Source organism: Homo sapiens, chromosome 20 (genome assembly GCF_000001405.40).
Source record: "Homo sapiens chromosome 20, GRCh38.p14 Primary Assembly".
In the NCBI taxonomy this organism is placed as follows: Eukaryota; Metazoa; Chordata; class Mammalia; order Primates; family Hominidae; genus Homo; species Homo sapiens.
The window spans coordinates 8,455,673-8,481,805 of NC_000020.11; the positions used below are offsets into that span (position 1 = coordinate 8,455,673).

General features: G+C 37.2%; 1 protein-coding gene and 1 long non-coding RNA gene across 3 annotated transcripts in view, besides 1 other annotated feature; both read left to right on the forward strand.

The window, feature by feature from the left end:
- The window catches only part of PLCB1 (phospholipase C beta 1), a 752,635-nt gene that overhangs the window by 323,407 nt on the left and 403,095 nt on the right, over positions 1–26,133 (forward strand). The window lies entirely within an intron of this gene.
- Positions 1–26,133, forward strand: part of LOC124900459 (uncharacterized) — a 112,238-nt gene that overhangs the window by 55,405 nt on the left and 30,700 nt on the right. Inside the window, exon 2 of the long non-coding RNA XR_007067518.1 lies at positions 1–26,133. This exon is cut by the window's left edge and continues 33,331 nt beyond it; it is cut by the window's right edge and continues 30,700 nt beyond it. This is a non-coding gene — a long non-coding RNA (uncharacterized LOC124900459).
- Positions 8,302–9,501: an enhancer, noted in NCBI's record as "MED14-independent group 3 enhancer chr20:8444621-8445820 (GRCh37/hg19 assembly coordinates)". NCBI's record gives its function as "activates an origin of replication core promoter dependent on BRD2, BRD4, P300/CBP and CDK7 cofactors, and independent of MED14, by STARR-seq in HCT116 cells {active_cell/tissue: HCT116}" and the evidence as "EXISTENCE:reporter gene assay evidence [ECO:0000049][PMID:35650434]".

Here is a 26,133-nt window from a genome sequence, read left to right on the forward strand (position 1 = left end):
TGCACCCACCTCTTAGTAGACTTTGGTTGGGATTATCTGAGAGTAGTCTTTTTTAGTTCTGTGGCTGTGTGAGCACATGGTTGGGAGAATGTGAGGAGGATGTGGCCATGACCAACTTTATCCTTTTGTAGCCACTCACTCCCCAGCGTCACACAAATGGATGCTTACGCAGATTTCCTATATCCTCCATAGGCTCCTATCTTTGTGCTGAGTATTAATTCCCATCTGTGTTCAAGGACGGTAATCAGGCAGGGGCAGTAATCAAAATGATGTGTACAGCAAAATCAAAGCTTTCGCATCATAATCAAAACCATGCAGTAAATTATAGGAATACGTGTTCTGGTTTAATCAATGACTGATCTTGCTTGGATGCTTGATACAGAGAAAATCAAAGATTTGGTTTCAAATTAGCCAAGGGGAACATATTATGAATGATCTCATATAACTTAGCATGCTATCACAGTGATTATTTTTTAAATAATAAGATTTTGCTGTAGGTCTCACCACACTACTATTTTAGCATACAACGACTAAGAAAAATTCTTTAGTATTTGTCCTTACATAGTGTCTTGAAGAATGACCTGCCCTCCAAAAGCTTGTTACAGGAGAGATGATATAGGCATGAGCAAAAAATGGTGAATGTGCTTGTACCCAGCAGTGTTAAGTAAATTCCGATCTTTGCTGTGAATTGCGAGTGAAAAGTTTGGGGTGAGTATTTTATTTTTCATTGAGAAGTGAAATAATTGTTAGTTTGTTTAGTAGCACTGGTTTTTGGGAATTTTTTTTCTTTTTTGTCTTTACACATTGCAGAGTAGCAGTAAAGAAATAGGTTGGTCTTTTAAAGGGTGTATTTCCTGCTTTTAATAAACACAAGTTTTATGAGAAAAATAAATAAATTTCAATATAAAATTAAGATGTACAGAATATAGATTTAGCACATATAAAAAAGGAAACAAAAATCATTTTACCTTCACTTTAGCCTGGGCTGATTTAACAAAACACCATAAACTGGGTAGATTTTTAACATCAGAAATTAATTTCTCATAGTTCTAGAGGCTGAGAAGTCCAAGATCAAGGTGCTGGCAGATTTGGTGTCTGGTGAGAGCCCACTACCTCACAGATAGCCTTCTTCTCACTGTAACTCACATGGGAGAAGTGGCCAGAGAGCTCCCTGGGACCTCTTTTATAAGGGCACTAATGCCATTCAGGAGGGAGGGCATCACCCTCAGGACCTCATGACTTCCCCAAGGCTCCATGTCTGAACATCATCACCTTGGGGGTTAGGATTTCAACATATGAATTTTGGATTGGGACATAAAGAGTCTACTGCAAATTTCTTCATGTCAGTCACATTTTAACCAAAATCATCTTACATGGACTTCTCTAGAGGTAGTTATATTTTTTAACCAACTGCACTTTTATATGATAACATATTTTTATATGCCACCTGCAAAAGGGCTACCTAATGAGGCCACCTATTTTTTGTAAGTGTAAGAGACTCAGCTGGAAGCAAGTTCAAGTGTGAAGCACTGTCCCCTCTCTACCTGGGACATGGTGCATACAAATGGGAGTAACATGAGCTTTGCAGGGGTCATCTTGGCCTCCTGTCCCACCTCCACCACTTACCAGTCATCATTCATTATTGTTATTCCATGAACAATGCCACCCACAAACCCAGAGTGACTCTCAGTTCATTGCTTGTCTTCACCCAGCGTAATGCCAGTTGTGTGTCCTTAACATCTTTCTCATCTCCTTATTTTGTCCTCACTTCTCTCCCCACTGCCAATGTTTAGGCCTGCAGCAACGATTTCCTAAATTGCCCACCTTCCATCCAGCTTCCATCACACTGCTAGAGTAACACTTCAGAAAATCCAAGTTCAATCCTATTAAAATCTTATTTTAATCAGTCGTCTATTTAATTATTTTTATTATTGCCCATTACTAGGATAGAGAATTCCAAGTTTGTCAAGTAATGAACTGCATGATATTCCTGGTCTCTTTATTCAAAGTCATCTCCTACTTATACCCCTAATGTGTGCGCGCACACACACACACACACACACACACACACACACGTACACACCATCTTGCCTTCCAGGCACCCTCAGCCACCTTTACTACTCCTGGCATGCTGTCTCCTGCACAAGTCTCATTGCCTTTACCCTCTGTGGAATTTCCCTCTCTGTGCTCTTACCAGATCACTTTATAAAGTTATTTTTAAATATGCTTGTGAAAATAAATGAAGATCACATGAACAAGAACAGAGGTGATTTATTTAGAGTTTGCAAGAGAATCAACCACTATCAGTTGCATTTGGCACAGACTTAAAGGAACACAGAAAGATAGGAAACCTTTAGAGTGAAACAAAGAGCAGGTTCCAGGTACGCTGTGGCATGAGGAAGCTGGAGTTGAGCTAACTAGATGTGAACATCTGATGTGGTTGGTTTGGGAAGCAGATCTTGCTTCCTCCGGTTGATTCTGAGTTGAAAGGAGGGAGCCAAGAATAGGGAAGCTGGCAGTCATTGACTGTATCGTGACTGTTGGGGCCAGTTGCTGTAGAGGTTGTGGTTTGGCTTCCAGCTGGTTGCTGCAGAGGTGGTGCTCAGAATTCTGTTGTCATATATTGTCTGGCCATTGTCCGTTTGTATATTTCATCTCTCATGATCAATCAATATTTTTTGAATGAGTACATGAATATTTCATCTCAGTAAGTGATCATTCCCTCCTCATCCATCTTAATCATAAAATTCTAATGTCCTAGGTTCTTTATCTTTCAACAAATTATGTTTCCCTTTCTTAATGGGTAGAAAAAGGAAGCTTCCCCATAGGCCTAAATGTGCTGATTTCAAGAGAAAGCATACTTCTTTGCAACAAGAAATTGCCCAGGCCTTCACTCTTAACCACTATGCTACATCAACGTCCTTAGATGAAACAGAGACTTGGGGGCATATATTTCCCAATTTTTCAAAATCCATTTTTATCGCATATTCAATTTGGCCTGCTTACCTTATTTACATTACCTGTCTGGGATGAAAGACATTTGAGGTTGTCATTCTGGACTCTTAAGTAAGTTCTTCCTTTAAAGTAAAGAAGCTGACCTTCCAAGCTAATTTATCCCACTTAACAAGAGTAATAATAACACACCACCCACTCCAGAAAGGAAATCATGCAGATGAATGAAATAATGTTTGTACAGAGCTTGACACTCCATAAAATACTCTAATAACATGGTGTCTACACTTTGAAATGTTCAAATCCTATTTCAATAGAATTAAAAGCCATGAAGAATAAAATGTGAATTGCTTGTCAGACTTTTACATAGAGGTGCAGGGTGATACTGATGCCATTAGACAATTTAAAAGCTGGGTTTTAGCAAAGTTTCTGAGGAATCTGATTGGTTTGTGGGGGAGAAAGTGATGGTGGTACTTATTCATATCCATTTTTGTAGAAAAACAATAGGTTATAACATGAACCGAGAAACACTTACGCAGCTAAATTTACAGAAATCTGTCTACTCATCTCCGAGGAAAAGTTTTGGCTAAGCAAGTTAATTTTGTCGTTAGACATTTGCATAGTAATTGTATTGAGTCTGAATGTGCATCTGCATGGAAAGCATGTTTTTTCAATCCTGTTCTTTGGACATGGATTAATATAGATCCTGGCGAGTCCTTAAATAATAAATTATTGAAGTTGAATGCTTAATTACTTTACATTTAGATCTTTTATAACCAGATGCTTGAACCCCTAGTCTGCCATGTATTGCTGCTGCCTTTATTGGTGTTACCAGGTAATAGTCACCTGAGTTTTTCACATGGTCTTGGTTTGAGGGTAGTCTACTAAAGAATGCCCACATATAGTGTTTCAAATATTATTAAAGAGTGATAATTAAATGTGCCTGATGTATAAAAAGCATGTGAGGTCATTTAAACTAACACTTTTATTGTGATTGTTGTGAAGGTTATGAAAAACTTGATCATGTATATTATCTAAAGGGATTGTTACAAACCTCAAGTGACTTCAGGTCATTGAAACCATTGCATGTGGTGACCAGCTACAGAGGCCATGACATTTTTCCCTTGCCTATTGTATCCAAGGTTATTTTGCAAATCACCGCTTTGCATGGTACAACCTTCGGAGTTTCTAGAAATTGCCTGGAGTGATAAACCAGAGTATATTCAACAATAGGATTTCCTAGAATTAGTGGGAGAGGTGTAATTAAGTTACTGTGTAATATATTTCCCCCAAATGATAAATATCAATATGTGAACACTGAATATGTGCTCCTATGAAGCCACCTTAAGTGGCAGTTTTTAGCTCAGAAATTGTGAACCAATGTTTTGTCCACCTGAACCAGTTTGGGTGGATGGAAAAGACTTAAGGGCAGATTTCAGAACTTGTTTTTCTTTGTTAATTCAAAAATGATTCTACTAAACTCTAGATGAGATCAAGTGGTGATAGAGATATCAGCTGAGTGAGTTCTGTTTTCTGGAACTTTCTTGAATCTTTATTAGTAATTCATAGCATTTTTCTAGATTTCATGGCTGCAGTTTCATATTGACATCATCCAGTATCACTCTAAAGGGACTCTAAAACTACCCTTCCTGGCATTCATCTAAGAGCTGGGAAGCCATCCGCTTATACCTGGCTTAGAATATCATTTTTAGAGACATGACCACAAGCCTGCTGACATTCAAGAGCATGGCTTAAGTGCATCCCACTCAGAGCTTTGTGAATTCTTCTTGTAAATTATGATGCCTATTCAAGATTTAGTGGGAATACTCCCTCTTCTCAAGCATTTATCAAAACACAAGGTGAATGCATTATCCACATTAACTGCTGTTCAAAAATTCTGTCCAAAAGTTTTGTTTCAATATAGGCAAAGTTTCTGTGTGATGCCTGGCATATGGCCAACCATATAGGATGGCCATGATCTTTATTACTGATTTCTTAGTGTTTATTTTGAATGTAAAGTTCTTTATGTTTTTCCTAAAAGTTCCTCACTGTTTCCCTCACTCACCCACTAGCCCACATATTCACATATTTTACTTGGTTGTGACTATTTGAAGAAAGCCCTTAAAGCTTTTTTCTAAAGCCCCCCATTTAAGATTTTCAAGTACATAGGAACCACTGGGGACTCTTACTACCATTCTGATTCTGTAGGCTGGGGCCTGAGGGTCTTCATTGCTAACTAGCTCCTAGGTGATAGGAACAGTGCTGAGAGCACACTTTGAGTGGCAAGTCTCCAAAGCAGTGCTGTCTAATAGAACTTTCTGTGATGATGGAAATGCTTCATATCTGTGCCATCCAAATGAGTGGCCACTTGCCCGATGTGGTTAATGAGTATTTGAAATGTGGCCAGTGCAACTCAGGAACTAAAATTTAATTTTATTTAGTTTAATTAATCTAAATTTAAATAGATACCTACCTTATTTGACTATGCTAGGGGACTTAATTAAAGTCTTTATAGCTCCTTGGCTTTCCCCAGTCTTGAGAAAAAGAATCTGAAAGTCGAGGGCTCTTTCTTATCTCCAATTTTCCAGAATCTTGCATAGGGCCAAGAATATTATGTATGCATAGTAAATGACATTCCTATTAAGAGGTCTAGTCTGCAGTTTTGGGGGCAGACTCATAGAACTGTCAAATAATAAAAAGATTTGACTTTGAAGCTATAAGACATGGTGGGTAGGTGGCTCAGCCTCTACCACTTACAGGATAATTTCTGACAAGTCACTTAATCCCTCTAAGCATCAATTTCCTCATCTCAAAATAGCAATCATGATTATGGTAATGTAATACCTATCTCACAGAGTTGCTGTGTTATGCACATAAAATTCCTGGCAAATTATTTTTTTCAAGTGATACTTGCTCTGCAAATGCTAGTTTTTGTGGTTATTTCAGCATGAATTTCTTTTTTCCCCTAATTAGTTATATTTCAGTAAAACAATAGAGGAAGGTACCCTGTGTGGACATAGTTGCAATCCAATTGAGAGGTTAAATAATAACACAAAACTACATGCAGTTTTGTATCATTTCTCATGTGGAGAAAGTAGTTTCGACGGTCAAGGAGGAGGGCTTCAGCATGTTACTTTGATTCTTTGCATTTTATATTATTTTATGTGGAAGCAAACAATATTTTTGGCCTGGGATTTTGTGTTGTTTGATTTAATTCCCTCATAAAAATGTGTCATAAATGCTTTGCTAATTGTGATTGAAATTTCATAACTCTATCTCATCTTAAAAATATCCCATTCCAATTTGCTGAATACATAATTTCCCCTTGTTTAAAGTTATATAATGGACATATTTTCTCTTTGTTTTTCTTGAGTATATTTGCTTTGAAATAGCTTTTTTGTTTTTCATACCCTCTGTTTATATATATGTATATATGTAAATATATGTGTATATATATAAACGTATATATGTATTTACACACACACATATGTATACACACATATATTAATCAAAAGCATTGCCTACTTCAAGAAAATAAGAAAAATCACAAGGGGTAACATTTCGCAAGTGTGCAAAGCACTATTCTAAACACCTTACATATATAAACACGTTGAGTTGTCACTGAGGCTGAGTAAACCTTTAAGCTCTTTTACTGTCTGCTGTGGTGTTGAGTTCTGAAAATATTGATAGTCCTCTTATCACTGGTAATGACATGACGTGCCATCCAATGACCTTTGTACAATCATGATTTATGTATAGGTTGAACTAGGGGCATCGCCATTTAAGAACGATTAAGACAAATCAAGGCATTTCTGAAAGAGAACAGATTGATTTTGTTTCTTAAAGTATTTATAGCTTGTAAGGCAGCTGTCTGCTTTTGTATATTCTTAAACAAGCATCATAGACCTTATTCAATAATTTAAGTGTTTTCTTTAGAACTGTTTTGCAGCAAACCGAACTTCCCATTTGCATTGATCAGTGTTTTCACCTTCATTCTAGATTACATTTTAAAGTAAACCAACCAATTTGGATAAATGTAAACGCAATCACTTGTTAACAATCTTCTGAGACTGAATCGGTGCTGGGTATTTCTGAGTTTCTATGGAAGGAAAATAGTTCAAAGTTCAGATTGGCTGTCTCACCACCTAAGCTCCATGCCTTGCCCCTTGCTTTCCTCCACAATAAGGCTTAGACGCAAAACACTTCGTTTTCCTGATCACCACTCAGGCATGAGAGACCAGGTGATCTATGGCTGGCCAATAGGCCAACAACAAGTAGGGAGAACCTCCTTTCATGAGTAGAAAGGCAAAGCATTGTGAAGGGAGCACCTTTCTATATTATTCCAACCTCGAATAAATGAGAATTTATTTATTTATTTTATTCCAGTTTGTTCATTTATTTCTTATACGCTCTAAGAGGCAACTCAGTATGTTGATTATTTTTTTCAGATTCATGCCCATTCATCTTCTTAAAGTAGAGTTTCTACAGATGCTCCAGGATCAGTCTGACCTAGTACAGAGCAGTGTGTGTGTGTGTGTGTGTGTGTGTGTGTGTGTGTCTGTGTATGTGTGTGTGCTCCTGCATGCTTTTAATTATATATTGAAGATATGCTAAAATATTTATAATGCCTCTCAAAGATTCAAAGAATAATAATAAAATAAGCAGCTTTCCCTACCTTAGAGACCTTCTGTGTACCCTTCCCTTATCCCTTCATTTTCTTCCCTACCAACATAACCACTGATCTGAATTTTGCATTTACTTTTCTCATTCTTCTCTTACAGTCATACTACATACCAGGCAGCTCTAAAGATATATTGTTTAATTTTACATGTTTTGGACTTCTTTAAAAAAAGAATCATACTGAACAAAAATGGAATCATATTGCATGTATTCTTATGAAACTTCATTTTTCATCCAATAATGCTACTTGAAATGTATTTATGTTGATGTAGTTACTACAGCCATTTTTCACTGCTCTATATTTGTCTCACTTTTGCCAGGTTTAATTTTTTTCTATTTTATCCTTTGAACTAGCTTGAAATTATATACTTCACTCTTTTTTCTAATCTCTTGGTTACTCCAGAAATTTTGGCTTGTATACGTAACTTTAATCAAAATCTTTATGATTCTCTTGAATGATAAAATATGTTCAGCATTTTAGCTTCAGCTATTTAGTCTGGTATTTAATTACACCTTCCTAAACCACACACATTAGACATTTTTACTACAATCAATGCTTATAGAAATTCACTCACATATTTATCAGCATTTTTTTTATTTACCTCTCCTTCATGCATCTCTGACTTTGCATTTGGGATTATTTTCCTTCTGACTGTAGTTGGTTCTGTAGGAAATCCTCCCGGGAGTATTGTTAAATATTTTCCATTTGTTTGAATGAAAAATGGCCTTTTGAAATCTTTTGTATTAAAAGTTGGATGCACTGGGTTTTCAGTTCCCGGTTGACAGTTGTTTCTTCTTGGCACATTGGCAGCAGTTTCTCCTATAGTCTAATATTCACTGTTGCTGTTGACAAGTCATGGCAATTGTTATTCCTCTGAAGTAATCTCTTCCTCTGGTTGCTTTTAATATTTTCATGTTGTATTGGGTGTTCTGAAATTTCACTAAGTCTCCAGGTATATGTCTTTCTAAGTTTCCTCCTCAGGATTTGTTGTGCTTCCTAAATCTGAGGTTTGAGGTAATCAGTTCTCTAGCATTTATAGCCCATTGCTACTTTGCCTCCCTCCCATTCATTCTGTTTTCCTTTTCTCAATAGACTTTTCCACTCTGTCGTGCCCTCCAACAACTTTCTTATGATTCCAACCTAGCTGTCTCACTGTGCTGCCTTCTAAATCACTTTTTCATAACTATCTTCTAGGTCAATAATTTTTCCTTCAGCTGTGTCTAATCTGCTGATAAAACATCTGTAAGGAACATGACTGTGCTGCACCCAAGCAGGCATAGGCCAAGGTAAACAACCTGGATGACTCAGCAGGTTTGTGGTACAAGTGCATAGTCCCATGTCTTATATAATCATAGCTGTGTAGAGATAACATAGAAAAGTTCACCGCCATAGCCATAACATAGAGAAGCTCACCACCTAGCTCTCAGCCACTATTGTTTGTGTAATGTATAAAAGTAACACTGACCCTGTGAGGCAGCTGCTGAATAAAGCCATGTCTCATCTACCTGCTGTTTCTCAAGTGTTCTTCCAGCTCCCTGCCCCACATCCACCCACTCCCCTCAGCCCTCAGCTGGGGTTGGAACTTGACCCCAAGCATGACAACATCCATTGGTTTTTAATTTTAATTACCATATTTTTAATTCCTAGATATTCTTTTTGCTTTATTTTAAAATTGATTTGGTCATTTTTTAATAGTTACTTCTTCCTTAATCATATTATCATCTTCTTATTTATTTCCTGAAATGTGTTAGACATTCTTAGATAATTCCTATATCTATTAGAATTATGGGTTGAAGTTGTTTGTTATTTGTGCTCTTCTTATTCATGTTGACTTGTTATTTTATATATTATATATTTTCATGGAACTTTCTTTTAAGTGTTGTCTGAGACCTGGGTTCACGTCAAGGATGATTTTTGTTTGCTTCAAGTAGCTGTCCACAGAGGTAGAGGTGGGAAATCAACCAGTGGCCAATAAATTCATTCCCCAACTCCCTACAAAAGTAGTATGATGCAAGCCATAAACTCAAATACCGACCAGGTTGTGGGTATGAAATCTCTTTGGAGATTTTTTTTTTCCTTCACTTAGTGCTCAATTCATCAGGCAATTTCCCTTCTTGTTTTCTGAAAGAATTTATTGCCAGTTACAGCTTATGCTGCTGTTCCAATTGTATAAGGGATCTCTAGTGAGACTCCCCACATTGGAAAGTCCTTAGACTTTTTCTCTGATTGCTCCAACTCACACATTTGAAATCATACAAATGGAAGCTCATGGTTGCCAAGACTCAGCAGATATCTTCAGGGTGAAACCTGGAGTCAGTGTTAATGTCTCTTCAGAGTCTTTAGTTTGTTTTCATCCTTTTCCAGCAGAAGAGCCCTACAAAAGAAGACATTTATGCAGCCAAAAAACACATGAAAAAATGCTCACCATCACTGGCCATCAGAGAAATGCAAATCAAAACCACAATGAGATACCATCTCACACCAGTTAGAATGGCAATCATTAAAAAGTCAGGAAACAACAGGTGCTGGAGAGGATGTGGAGAAACAGGAACACTTTTACACTGTTGGTGGGACTGTAAACTAGTTCAACCGTTGTGGAAGTCAGTGTGGCGATTCCTCAGGGATCTAGAACTAGAAATACCATTTGACCCAGCCATCCCATTACTGGGTATATACCCAAAGGACTATAAATCATGCTGCTATAAAGACACATGCACACGTATGTTTATTGCGGCATTATTCACAATAGCAAAGACTTGGAACCAACCCAAATGTCCAACAATGATAGACTGGATTAAGAAAATGTGGCACATATACACCATGGAATACTATGCAGCCATAAAAAATGATGAGTTCATGTCCTTTGTGGGGACATGGATGCAATTGGAAATCATCATTCTCAGTAAACTATCACAAGAACAAAAAACCAAACACCACATATTCTCGCTCATAGGTGGGAATTGAACAATGAGAACACATGGACACAGGAAGGGGAATATCACACTCTGGGGACTGTTGTGGGGTGGGGGAGGGGGGAGGGATAGCATTGGGAGATATACCTAATGCTAGATGACGAGTTAGTGGGTGCAGCGCACCAGCATGGCACATGTATACATATGTAACTAACCTGCACATTGTGCACATGTACCCTAAAACTTAAAGTGTAATAATAATTAAAAAAAAACAAAAGAGCTGTACAGGGAATCTAGGCTGGCATAGTGTGAGAAACAAAACACACATGGCAGCTCTTTTTGCCATCCACAACAAAATACTAACAATTGAGCCTATAATCAGCTAAATCCAAAGGCAACATAATGTTCTTCCCCATCTTTTACTTGTGCAGTTGTGTTTTGGATCCAGATTAAAGACCTTAAATTTAGTACTATTAAGTTTATTGTTTGTAGGTTTGACTGAGCTCCGTAAAATTTTTTGGATCTTAATTCTATCACTTAACAGTCACAATTTTCCCCAATTTCATGTCATGCATACATTTGGCCATCACAACTTGAATGTTTTTACTACACTGTTGTAAAAATGTTGACCCAGATCAGATTAAAGCCTCAATATCCCCTCTAGGTAGAGACTCGTGTATGATGTGGCATTGACTAGGTCTGCTGTTAGGAATACTTTCTCTTTCTTTTCTTTTGTTTTATTTTTGAGATCTCCCTCTGTCACCAAGGCTGGAATGCAGTGGTGCAATCTCAGCTCACTGTAACTTCTGCCTCCTTGATTCAAGCGATTCTCATGACTCAGCCTCCCAAGTAGCTGGGATTATAGGCATGTGCCACCATGCCCAACTAATTTTTTGTATTTTTAGTAGAGATGGGGTTTCACTATGTTGGCCAGGCTGGTCTCAAACTCCTGGCCTCAAGTGATCTGCCTGTCTTGGCCTCACAAAGTGCTGGGATTACAGGCATGAGCCACCATGCCTGTCCATATTTCTTTATCTTCAAGAACATATTTTGCCAAATGCCTTCCTGAAGTCAACACACATTGTATTTATGATTTTTTTAGCCAGAGAAGAATTAAATCAGTTAACATGAATTTGACTTATAAATCCACCTGTGTGTTAATCAAAGGGCTCCATGGATAGCCACACCCAGTCATCATTTATCATCTCCATTTATTCCTCACTGGGGTCATTTGAAGATTCTGACTCAGAATTACATCCTTGATACCTTGCTAACAGTCAAGTTAAGCTATTATGGAATTGTGCCTATTTTCATGAATATTTGGGCAGCCTCTTTTCCTAAAGCTTATAATAAAGGCCTCTATGAACTACCATGAACTCCATGGACAGTAGGTATACAGTGTTATATTTGAGTTCCTTCCCTTTTCACCAGATGTCCAGGTAATCTGTACTTTATTTCTATAATGACATAGCATCCATCCTTTTCTCCTTTTATCTTTTGAGCATTTTCCAGGGTGCTTTCATCATCTTGGTTTTGGATTTTTATCAGAACATGTGTCCTTGAACTTGCACACAAGAAAGACTTTCAGTGATTGACACATCCAAGGCTTCTTATTTAGTTGTTCTTCAACTCAACCACATTGTCTAATAGAAACCAGCCAGGCTCTGCTGTCTGCACCATTAGGATGATTATGAAAAGAATTTAACTAGCATTTTCCTATTTATCTTTCAAATATATAAGCTTCTACTTAGCAATATGAAATAACAAACCACTGCTACAGGAAAAATGTGGATAAATCTCACAGAGATTGTGTGGAACAAATAAAACAAATGAAGTCATGTGCAAAAGACTACTTACTCTGTTGTTCTGTTTATAGGAAATTCAAGAACAAGCAAAACTAATAAATGGTCCTGTAAGTCAGAATAGAGTTTTCCCCTGGGACTGGGAAATATTGACTGGAAGAAGCGTGAGGGAGCCTTATAGAGGCTCTATATGTTCTATATTTTGATCTAGGTAGTAGTTATAAGTCTGTTTACATATATAAATATTCATAAAGTTGTACATTTAATACGTGTGCATTTTACTATATGTATGTTATACCTTAATAAAGAAGAAAAACTCATTTAGGTTACAAGTGAGAATCAGTTTTAGTGCAGTACTTATATGAGTATGGACTCTGGAGTCTTGGATATATAATCAGTTGATTACAATCAACATCTGAATGATTTTGGAAACTAAGTTTCCTCATCTGTAAAATGGATGATTTTCTGTGATAACTGTACATTTTTACTTTTTGTATAAGGCATAATGGAGTGATGTGTGTAAGTCACTTACCATCATACCTGCCACAATACATGCAAGTTTTAGTATAATATCGTCCTGATTCAAAACATTTCCTGCTTTTTAAAACATCCTGCTGTTTAGACAGATGACTGACATTATTCAATACATCAAATGGTATGTTTTCATTAGTTATCTATTTGTGACTTGCTTAGTAATTATAATGGCAACTGCCATTTATGTAACTCTTTATGTTTAAAAGCTAATTTATATACATTATCTAATTTAATTATTCACAACAGTGCTATAAAAATGATATTAATTTTATCCTCATCTTGCCAACCTAGAGCCTGAGATGCAGAGACCTGAAGTAACTTACCCAAATGACATAGTCAGGAAATATTAGAGAGAGTCATAACTCAGTCATTTATCTTTCCCTCTTCAAACGGAAGGGTACATTAGAGTCACCTACAGAGCTAGTTACAAGTTCCACCCCCCGTAGTGTCTGATTCAGCAGGTTTGAGGTGGGTCCTGAGATTGCTGCATTTCCCAGGCGATGCTGACACTACCGTCCTATGGACCACACTTTGAGTAGCAAAGCTTTGCAGATGAAGAAAGCGTAAGCATCAGACCTGAGTTCTGCCTTCAAAGAGCTTGCATTTCTTTTTTCAGGAAACAGGACTGAAGTATGAAATAATAGAAGCCTCCCTAAGGTGGTTTATATCCTGAGAACACCCTCTTTGCTGGAAAGAAAGTTTCATAGTAGAAGAGAACTTAAGAATACTCAGATTATATATAGGAGAACAAAGTATGCTTAGATACGCTAATTTTAATGGTGTTCAATGACTTATATGCCAAAATGTTAAAATGGTGGGAGGCCCCTAAATTAATATCCTAATTCAAGTATCCTAGTCGTGTTATTCTCACAAATTGTCATTTCATTATGTCAAGTAATATTTTAGGGTGTTTTAACCATCGTTATTTAGGTCTTTGATTGATGTGAAAATTAGTCTCAGTGCTGTAACCACAGGTTTTTGTCAGTGTAACCCTACTGAGTTCCAGCTTCTTTTTTAAAAAAAAGTACATATGTGTACCCACAACCATTGTTACTAATTGAAATACTTGAAGAAAAGAGAGAAAACAGTGACCAAAATTCTTATAAAAATCAAAAGCTTTCCATTTTTTCCAGCTTTGCTTTGTTTCACAGCAGCCATTTATCAGAGTTTTAACAAGTAACAAGTAACCAGTCACCTATTTTTTAAGTGACAGCATTATTAAGATATAATTCACACACCATACAATTCACTCATATAAAGTGTACAATTCTGTAGGTTTCAGCGTATTCGTAGAGTTATGCAACCATCACTACAATGTAATTTTAGAACATTTTGTTACTTCCAAAAGAAACCCTGTCCCCATTAATAGTCATTCCTCATTTCTCAATTCACTCTGCCCTTTGCAACCGCTAATTTACTTTCTGTCTCCATGGATTTGTCTCTTCCAGACATTTCATAGAAATGGAATCACAAAATATGTGGTCTTTTGTGACCAGCTTCTTTCATATAGCCTAGCGTTTTTGAGATCCATCCGTGTAAAATGGATCAGTTTTTTATTCCATTTTATGGTCAAATAATATTCAATTGAATGAATATGCCACATTTTATCTACCCATTCATCAGTTGATGGACATTTCAGCCACTTCCACACTTTGGCTGTATGAGTAAGAACACATTTATGTACAAGCTTTTGTGAGGACATATGTTTTCATGTATCTTTGGTATATACCCAGGAGTAGAATTCCTGGGACATATGGAAACTATGTTTAAACCATAAGGAACTGACAGTTTTCCTAAAGAGTTGAATCATTTTACAATTCCACTAGCAGTGTATGATGATTCCACGTTCTCCACATTCTCACCAGCTCTTGCTAATATTTATCTTTTTGTTTACAGTAGTGGGTGTGAAATGGTATCTTGTTGTGGTTTTGATGTGCATTTCCCTAATCCTAGTGATGCTGAGCTTCTTGCATGTGCATTTGCTTACTTTGTTTTCTTTTTCCATCCTTTGAGACAAGGTCTCACTCTTAGTCCAGGCTGGAGTGCAGTGGTGCGATCACAGCTCACTGCAGCCTTGACTTCCCAAGATCAAGTGATCCTCCCACCTCAGCCTCCCAAGTAGCTGGGACTACAAAGCACAAACTCTTTAGTTTTTTAGAAATGGGGTCTCGCCATATTGCCCAGACTGGTCATTCATTTATCTCTTTTGGAGAAATGTGTATTCAGATTATTTGCCCATTTTTTAATTTTTTTTTCTTTTTAAAATTTAATTGTAAAATTTGAATAACTTTTTTGTGCTCTTCTTTGTTTTGGTCTTGTTTTGTTTGATTTGGTCTTGTTTTGTTCCTTAACCTTTTGGTGACTAGTGAGTAGCTATTGGTAGAAAGTGGGTAATTACTAAACAAATTGCAATGAGAAAAAAAAGAATTAAATAGTGTGGAACACTTGCAAATATGATAACTAAGTTTTACCAATTATGAACAGGTTAATATTTGGTTTACTGTTTGGAAAATAATAATGTACAATTTACACATTGGTTCTAATACAGTATTTAATCTGTATCTTTGTGTCATATTTAATACCACCATTTTCCAAATTGTTCCATGGAATGTAATAGGTTTTATATCAAAAAGGGGTCTGTGGCTTAATAAGTCTGGAGAACCATAGGCTCAATAAACGGGATGGAGTGTTTTAACTCAAGGGCTTCCTTGAACCTTTAATATGTAAATAGACATTGTAAGTGTTCAAAGCAAGGACTGTACATGAAAATAAAACCCTTTACTTTCCCTAATCATTTCTTTTGGGACTTGTGTTCTGTGGAACACACTCGGGGAAGCATTGCTTTAAGGATGTTAATTTTTCTTAAAGAAAGTATATTGCCCTGGAGAGCTCAGATTGTGACAACTGGACAGGTACAAAGACTGGATGAAACAGCAGCAATTGTTAAGTTACGTGTTACAAACTCAGAATTAATATGGGAAGGATCCTGACATTTTATGAAATTAAAACTAATATTAATTGAACAGAAATAGAAAAAAACCTGGGAAGACTTGAGACAGTTTGTGATTCCTCTCAGCTAGCTGGCATGTTTATTTTGTATTACAGTGCATAATTGACCCCCTGCTAGGTGAATTGGATTTTGCAGACTCGCCTTGTTATGTATTTCAAAGAGCTCTAAATTTAATACATGCTGCTCCTCAGGGTTCAAGCTTTGAATCACCCTCCTTTTCCTGTGTTTTAGCTGGGTAAGTTTCTCTCTTTTCAAGAACAGCAACTTTTTCAATGCAGACAGTTTAATTATAAAGATCTTCTCATTTCGGTAATGTTTTAGTGAATCTCATATTTCCTCATAAATTTAGGGAGAATGCAGCTATTTCTAAAAATAGGAATTAATAGTTGAGTTGTTACTGGCTTTTTTATTGTCCTTTCCAGAATTACAAAAAAAATAGTCTTTGGCAGTTCACATTGCTTCAGGTTGAAAGTATGCAAAATTTTTAAACTATTCCATATTCGTAATAAGTGAAAAAATAATTATTTTTGATTTCTCCCCTAAGGTACTAGCAATGTGTCCATTAGGAAATTTAGCTCTTATTTTTGGTGAAGTAGCAGAATTTTTGTTTCAAGGCAAATTCAGCATAGATACTTGATTGTAAAGATATTATTGTTTGCAAATCTTTGTGGAGTTTTTTGGGGGCCAAATTGAAGCATTAACTCAAAAGAATGGCCCTTTTCTTTTATTGTTATGTTCTTTTCATTTTATTTATTTGCTTTCATACATTTTCTAATTAATTTTATGTTTTTACCAATACCAGCCCCATCACTGGGGTTCTGGTGACCACTTAATTTTACTGTGAAGTAGAAGCCAGATGATGGATAAGTCAAGCCCCAATATAATAAAGCCACCTTAACTAGTTAAACTGATATTATAGAGCTTAGCTCTGACTCCAGATATACATATATACCATTACTTTATAGAACAACTCTCTCTGGAATAGCCGTGTTCTCTTTAAGCCAGGTATGATGGTGCATGCCTGTAGTCCAGCTACTGGGGAGGCTGAGGTGGGAGGATTACTTGAGCCTAGGAGTTCAAGGCCAACCTGGGCAACACTGCAAAACTTTGTCTCAAAAAAAAAAAAGTTATCTTCGTCATTGAGATGTTGCATTGATCACCCAAGTATGGTGAAGAATTGAAGAGTAGCCAATTAGAGTGCTCGATTATGAAAATATGATGCAAGATAGGGACCAGGAAGGTCACCACAGTTCTTCCTGGGGCTAGTTGCTATGAAAGATAAACCCCCACATCTCAGTAGCTTAACACTATTGAAGTTTACATTGTTGTTTACAAAATGCTCTTTCTGGTGGACTGTTTCCCTTCAAGCCATGATTCACATGGCCGGCATTCTTCCATCTTGTAAACCCATCATCTACAAACAGAGACATCCAACTTACCCTGCTAGGCTGCATCAAGCCAGAAGGAGAAAGAGTATGGACGGTCACCAGTGGAAGGTTTCTGTGAATGTGACTCTAGCTCTAACTCTGTGAGCTAGAAGTCAGTCATATCACCAAACCTCATCCCAAGGGACACTGGGGCATGTAATCCAACCACATATGCTCAAGAAGATGAAATGGATTTTGGTGAACATGCAGTGATCTTGACATACACTGCTGAATATTTGCTTTTTTATATTTACAGTGTTGAAATTAATCTGACTAATGAATTGGAGTTAGTTATCTCCAAAGGAAAAAAAAATTACACATGCACGCACACATTAATTATACATTAGTCTTAGGCTAATAATTAATATATCCACATGTTAAGTAATTTCTTTAATAAGTTCTCTTCAAATTAGTTCAAAGATGTCTTTGGCATTCCTAGAAGGCACATTTTATTGATCTGTTCTCAATTTACAAAACAAATAACTGACTCTTTATATCTCCTGAATCTCCTTTGAACATTAAACTGAGTAGCAAAGCATCACACATAGCAAGAAAATTGATTTTGACAATCCAGCCTTGTTAGTTATCATTTCAACAGGTGCCATTAGTATCAAGACCGAGGTGCCTGCCACAGCTCTAGTGCAATAATGTGAAGTAAATATCCATCCAAGCACCCTGGCCTCTTCTCCAAAATAGAAAATGACATCATGTAATTGGTTTTGTCTGAACTGCTCAGTGAGTGAAAATGTGTTTCAGAAGAGTTAAGGCATGATGTCATTATTCCTGAAGTGGATTCTTGCAAAGGCTGGGCACTCAGCAGCCTGAGTCTTAAAACCAGCAGCAGTACAAAAACCTGATGCAGAACCTTAACCCCATTTATATAATATGGTGAATTTTTTCTCAAATGGGAATATGGTGCATTATCTTTAAAAACAAGAAGTGATCACATGCTCCAGAACACCACTGATGCCTCTAAGAAATCTTATTGAATTAAGACAGTTAATTAATTGTCTGCAATAGTCTTGACTCTTGCCTGTCTCTCACTTGAGCATGTGTTGTAAATTAGGCAGGAATATCATTAGGGCATCCAGTTCGTTCCCATGCCCCAGTGGCAAAGAGGGGCAGGACATGAAGATGATTTTATTTATTTAACAAATACTGATCACCTGCTATGTGCCTTGTAATGATCTTAGTGCTGGGTATATAGCCATGAATAAAATGAGATTCCTCTTTTTATACATAATAAGCAAATAAAAATACAACCCAATGGCAGGTAGAGTTTCATGCTAGGAAGAAAGATAAAGCAAAATGACATGCTAGAGGGTGATGCGGGAGTGGCATGGACTGGAAGATGGGCTGTCAGAGTATGACATTTGAGCAGAGGCTGAAATGCTCTGAGGGAGAAAATCATAAATCATGTGGATATTTGTTGGGGAAATGATTATAGGTGTAGGGAACAGCAGGGGCAAAGTCCTTGGATCGGAGTGTGCTTGGCAAGTTTAAAGATGAGCAAACATGAATGAGGGGTAGAGTGGCAGGGATTATGGTGGAGGAGAGGCAGAAGGAGCAGAACATGCAACATGCTGGATGCTGCTGTAGGCCCTCATAAGGGACTGACTATTGAGCCATAAAGCCACTCGATTTCAGGCTTGGCATTCATGCTCTAGCACCAGAAGTGTAATGCTGGGTGGTCTATGGGCTCTGCATTTAGGCTGGGGACTAAGATGTGACATTTCTGGACCTTGGATGATTGTCAAAGGATGGGAGGTTGGTTCTGGGTTCAGAGAATGGGGAAGTACATTGCCCATTAAGAATTTTAAGAGATCTAAGTGTGACCACAATTGATGATTTTATTATCTTCACTTCAGTGATAAAATTCTTCACCCTCCTCATTCCATAATATTCTGCTGCTTTCACCTGAAGTTCGCCAGGTATGATTAAACATTGAGTAATTCAGACCAAAGCTTCCAGATATCTAGTAACAATATACACTAGTCAAAAAACAAGATCACACACACAGACACACACACACACACACACACAGACACACACACACACTCTTTAGTATATTTGGCAAGGAGAAATCATTGAGTGCATGAATTTATAATGGGATTGTATATTTTCAATCAAAGATCTTACATGAAAAATGTTCAATCATTAAGATAAGGGAGACATTTATGTTATGTGGTACCCAAGATATGCCAGTAAGGTTTTTTAAAATACACTTTATTCATTTGTTCAAAAGCCATTTTGGGTGGTGGAGGCTTACTCTGTGCTACTGAAGACATAATGAAGATCAGGAGATACCCTGGCAGCCGAGAGCAGTGGTGCATGCCTGTAATCCCAGCTACTCAGGAGGTTGAGGTGGCAGGATTGCTTGAGCCTGTGGGTTGGAGACCAACCTGGGCAACACAGCAAGACCCTGTCTCAAAAAAATAAGTGGGAAAAAAAGACAGAGATGTCCTTGCAACAAACCAGAAAGTGAGGTATAACTATTCTAATTTTACAAACAAGGTAACTGAGGCACAGAGGAGTTCAGCCTGTGTTCGGAGTCACACAGCTGGTAACATGAAGTTGAAACACAAATGTAACTTTTTTCTACACCTTGTCTTTTTAAAACCAACAACATCTTTCAGACACTTGCACACTTTTTTTCAGATAATTGGTGTATGTAAAGGATTTCACTTCACATGGACTATTTGGTAGATATATAACATCTTAGATATAGCCAATATCTTGTATAGGAACAATGTTTGTATGAAGTAAAGAAAAACAATAGGATAATCAATGCAAGGTAGAAAGTGATAGCACACTTCTGTGATTAATACTAGGATAACTGGTAAAGAGTATATGCTATTTTGTATTACTATTTCCATAACTTCCAATCATGCACATGGCTGCTTCTCTACAACTCTACAAAGACAGTATCTAACACACTGTCATACACCACTGCTTCCTATCTTGTTAAAATGCCAATTCTGACGCAGGTCTGGTGTGGGACCTGAGATTCTGCATTTCTAACAGACTCCAGGGATGCAGATGTCATTGCTCTGTGCTCTTAAATGTGGAGTTTAAGGCTATTACAGTCATTTCCGGCACCAACCAAAACACTGTGTCTTGGCCCCCACGGCTACTGGTGGTCACTTTTGCAAGAATGTTTCCTGGGAGACCTAGTAGAGCAGCTTACAGGAGTTCACAAAGACACAAAATGATGGTAGGAAGGAATAAAGAGGAGAAGTAAAAGTGTTGCAATGGATTCTGTACCTCAATCCTGAAGAAACCACAGATCAGTCACTTCCTTCTTGTTCAAGTGTGTCAAGTGTGTCAAGTGTGTCAGCCTGATTTGGCACAGCTGACTTGATGAAGCATGATCTCACACAGCAAAGCTGTTGATCACCTTGAAGAATATGTACTTTGCTCCTTGGTGTAACCTAAATTTTACCTCGCTAAAACAAAACAAAAAGAATCTAATATTCTACTCATATTATTCATTCTGGCTGGATGCTAAAGTTAATTTCCTTAAGTGCTTCAGATACTATATTAAAACTATCCTTTTATCAAATATTTTAATATAAAGCTTTTGAAAACATGCAAGAGAATTTCTTCATTAGAGCCTTCTCCAATTTTAATGAGCACACAAATCACCTTAAAATCTTATTAAAAATATAAATTTTGACTCAGTGAGTCTGGGATAGGGATTGAAATTTTCCTTTTCTTAAAAGATCTTAGAGAAGGTGGATACAGCATCCTTGGAGCACTCTGAATAGACGGGCCTTGGAATATCTTATCTTCACTTGTATTAGGATGGCTTTTTTGTGTGTGTGATGTTCAAAATGATGAGGAAGCTATATGTTTACATATCACCAGAAGCTTAAAATGATGGAAAGGAGGCTCCCACCCCATCATATAGGCCATTGATCAAAGATTCTGCAGTCACACTATTTCCTTACCATGATGGATTATTCAAACACCAGCTGTAGGAAAAGGATTTTTTTCAGGAAACTGATGGTCCATTGTAGTTTTTCTGAAATCAGGCTGTACTTGAGGATTACTCAGCGGGTTCCAAAGAGTACAGACATTTAAGATCCACCCCAGACCAACTAAATCAGAATCTCTGGGCATGAATCTAATGAGTAGTCTCTAGACCAGCAGCACCTGCAAGCTTATGAGCCATACAGAATCGCAGGCCCCTCCAGATCTACTGAAGTACAGCTTGAAAAGATCCCCAAGCAATTCCAACGCATGTTCAATTTTGAGAGATGTTGCTAACTGGGAGGCAAAGCTGTAGAGTTGCCGCAGCAACTTAATTGTAAGGTATTAAAAGTCTCCTTTCCTATCTAATCGTTTGGATGTCTGCCAGGTATTAGGACCAAAGGAAGACGGGCAGACATAAGAACCCATCCAATGGTGGTTACATTGATTATATCCTTCCTGAGGCATCTGAAATAGTATAAAATAATAAGGAGAGAACACCAAAAATGTATCAACTTCCATGTAACTAGTGTGTATTAGCCCATTTTTGCTTTGTTGTAAAAGAATATCTGAAATTTAGAAATTTAGTAATTTAGAAAGAAAAGAGGTTTATTTAGTTCGTGGTTCTGCAGGCTGTACAAGCTTGGCACCAGCATCTGGTGAAGCCTCAGGAAGCTTTCACTCATGGCAGAAGGCGAATAGGGAGCAGGTGTGTCACATAGCAAGAGAGGAAGCAAAGGAGTGGGGAGGATGTGCCAGGCTCATTTAAAGAACCAGCTCTCGCATGAACTAATTGTGCAAGAACTCACTCATCACCAGGGCGATGGCGCCAAGACAGTCATGAAAGATTTGCACCCATAATCCAAGCAGCTCCCACTAGGCCCCATCTCCAATACTGGGAATAACATTTCGGCTTAACGTTTGGATGGGACACACATCCAAACCACATCTTAGTGCTTTACATAGACTGTTCCATCTATCTCTCCTCTTTGTCATGGGTTTTGGTTGACTTTCTCCCAGAAAGTCCTCCCTGCTTGTTTCTGGCTTTAAATCTATTGAGTAAAATTTATCTGAAGGAAATTTAATCAATAATTCAAAACAGGAATAGATTATTCATAGGGAGAGCTGTGCTCACAGTTTTGTTAATTTGCAGTGGTAGCATTCTTTATCACTGGCTGAAACTCAAGTAAAGGAGTGAAAGATCAAGTATTTGTTGAGAAACTATTTTGTGCCTAGCATCATGCTAAGGATTATGGTGACAACCGCAAAAGGTTAGTTTCATGGCACTTGTTGGAGATGCATGTATTTAACTTGCAAATAGTATACACAACTCGTGTGTTATTAAGTTATGAAATATTGAAAAAGCATAACATGGGAGTTTAATAATGGAACACAGACAGACTGAGCAGAAAAAAAAAATTAGTGAAGGGAGGTGTCATTTTGAATTTAGGCTTCACAGAGCCAACAGAACTTGAGTAGATTTAAGATGTGGACATTCCATTGAGAGAAAACAGCTTCAACAAAAGCAAAATATATAAATATACATATATAAATAACACACAGATGACAGGAAACAAATAATAATGAGAGCTTACCCTTAAACATGCAGCACTATTTTATGTTTTGCATTTTTAATTTTGGGCATAGAATTTCATGTATGTTGGGGAAACTGTAGAAATTCTTCTTATTCTAATTAAGGAAGGTAGCTTTGAAAACAAGCATATTTTAAATAGTTAAAATTTTCATTATTTTTTCCTCAAAATTATAGATTGTGGTGCTTTTTTGTAATTTTTGCTAACTTCAAAATGTAAAGTTAAAGGTTTTATGAAATATCAATTCTGAAAAAAATTTTCTGCTACTAATGATCTAAAAACTGCTATGTTAAGCAGGCTCTTTTCATAGATTAAAAATGCTCAAAATTACTTTGATGTAAACTTCATTCATTATACATGTAAAAAGCTTGGTTTACATGGCTTATAAGTCAGTTTTACAGTCTGGCTGTTAAGCCTAATTCTTTAGATAATTACTATGTGAAATTTTCGTTGTCATTAATTCTTCATTGTGGCAAACTGGCATGAGTATTCTCTATTATGGAGTAATAATATTAATAAGAAGTGCACATATTCAAAATAATGTAGAATTATATGCACTATAATTTACATATTTGTTTAATGTCTTATTTTTTATTATCAACTTTGCTTGTTTATTTGTTTTATGTCACCTGCTGTAGAATGCTAATTGGTAACAAATTATAGCATTATAGAATAGGTGCAAGCCATCAAAGTGTACATTTTTATGTAAATATTTTATTTTTATTATAGAATGAGTAACCTAAAGATAAATGCAGTGCATTCTCAGCAATAAGATAATGCTGAAATACATTTCAGAAGATACAATATTTTTAAACCTGACAGGAAATTATAAAACATTAGCTTACATGAAATAAGTTTCATTCTATATGAGCTTTAATACTGCAAGATCTATGTCTATTAACTGACAATGGAAAGTTTTGTGAGGAAAATGGTTGTATGCTATATCTTTGCTTCCACTAACAGGAAACATTACAGAGTCACAATTCTTAATAGACCGCAGGCTCCTTTACAACTTAGCCATCTATATTACTCACTTTTATGTCCCTAGCATTGGTGATAGATGGTGTTATTTATTCACAATTCTTTTGCTTTCCATCTTTGCCATGAGTGTAAGTGGAGTTGACAATCTACTGCATTGACTTGGCCCTGTGACTTGCTTTAGCTAGTCAAATGTTAGTGGATGTAATGACTTTACATGTGCTTGTGTGGTATGACTCCTTCTCTTGCATTTCTGCCCTTTACTATGAGAAAAATATCTTTTAGGTAGTTGACGATTTCGAAATGAAAAGGATATGAAGATCAGAACCCAACCTGTAGCATAACACAAATCTATATGCACAAAGCACGTTCCATGCAGTCATGTCTTAGTTCTGGGATTTCTAGGTATGGGATTTCCTTGAGCTGAGCACTACATGTAATAGTGATGGTGAACTATCTAGGTATCGGTTTCTAAAGGTTTTCTCAGTAGTGGGACAGTAGCTGAGAAATAAAGGAGAAATTGGCTAGGCCAGGAGACTTCTCCATCTCTAGGGTCGCCAGGTAATAGTTCAGATTACTTCAGAGATTTAAAGGTGCAGCATTAGAACATGGTTTTCCAGGTTAGCAGGGTCAGGCAGTTACCAGAAGATTCTGCAAGCATGACTTGGTGCCTGAGTGGGTGGCGAGCCAGGGGTCCCTGTCCAATCCCCAAGCTGAACAGAGAATAAAATCCGGATTATGATTAAGCTCATATCCACCACCACAAAATGGAGAGAAAAACAACAGATTTGGTTAACACCCAGTGTTCAAGGAATGAGAAAAGGGATAGGAAGCAAACTTGAAGCATTGAAAAAATATGTCAGGTCCTGAAACTGGGGGGAGGAGAAGTGGGAAGGAGATGTTCTGAAGAGCGTCACTGAGAAAGGCATATTTATACCTGAATAAGTTCTCTCCAATCTGCCTGCAATTTTTAGCTAGTTTGCCTAGTGTAGCCAGATTACAGCCTTTGGGTGTGTTCTGTGTCACCAATGAGGAGGGCTCTGTAACTGTTGATGATTGCCATAGAAGGGTGGGTTTCCTGTCAAGTCCTCCAGGTACTATCCAGATGCTCCCCCAGGATCTGACAGAGGCTGGACTAAGGGAGCCTTCTGAAGAATAGAGTAGCACACAGCTTGAGAACTGCAGTGTGGACTGAACTTGAAGCTCAGCTACATGGTGTTATAAGCAGACTTACAAAACTACCTCTCAGTTTGGGCAACTGAAACTGAAAGTTTACTATTGAATATAGACAAATTTTGGCCAGGCGCTGTGGCTCATGCCCAGCACTTTGGGAGGCTGAGGCGGGCTGATCACCTGAGCTCAGGAGTTGGAGACAAGCCTGGCCAATATGGCGAAACCTGGTCTTTACCAAAAATACAAAAATTAGCTGGGCGTGGTGGTGCGTACCTGTAGTCCCACGTACTGGGGAGGCTGGGGCCAGAGAATAAGTTGAATCGGGGAGGCAAAGGTTGCAGTGAGCCAAGAGCGCACCACTGCACTCCAGCTTGGAGTAGACAGAGCAAGACTTAATCCCCCTACCCCCCACCCTCCCAAAAAAGAAAAAGAAACATGTAAAATACATTTTCATTTAAAAAGTTAAATTGTAGTATATTCACTTTTAGTAATAAATTTTTTATAATATGTCATTACCAGGCAGACAAAAAAAACTTCAGATATTTTCTTTCAAAGTGCCTTGAGTGCCTTCTGATAGAACTGCTAACGAGCAAAACTAGTACTAGTTAAATAGCACTAATTTGATAATACTAATTATTGTGAATTGTTTGGATGACTTCTGATACATATATTTTACTTTGAAGGGGCTTTTTCTAGGAATATTGATATTTAATACCTGTTATATCTTCTATTTGTAAATGATTATTAAGTTGGCTACTTGCTCTGCAGAGTATTAGGAATTTCAGTTTTTACTGGTTGGTGGTTGCATGTAGTTTTGCCAAACAGAATGCTTAATAAACATTTTAAGCTTGTTCTGCCTTGGCTGTATATTTTAGTTCATTTTTTGTAAATTTTCTCAAAATTAATTGTAGGCTAGCTTACCTATAATAGTCCTTAATTACCATTTTGGGGGGGAATTCTTTTGTATAGTAATTGTTCTCCCCCAACTAGAGTTTATGTGCCTTCTCTGTCCTTCTCTGTCCTTCACCTGAATAATATAATGCTGACCATCATGGAGTAAGCACTGAACTTATAAATCATTTGAATTGGTTTTTTGATCT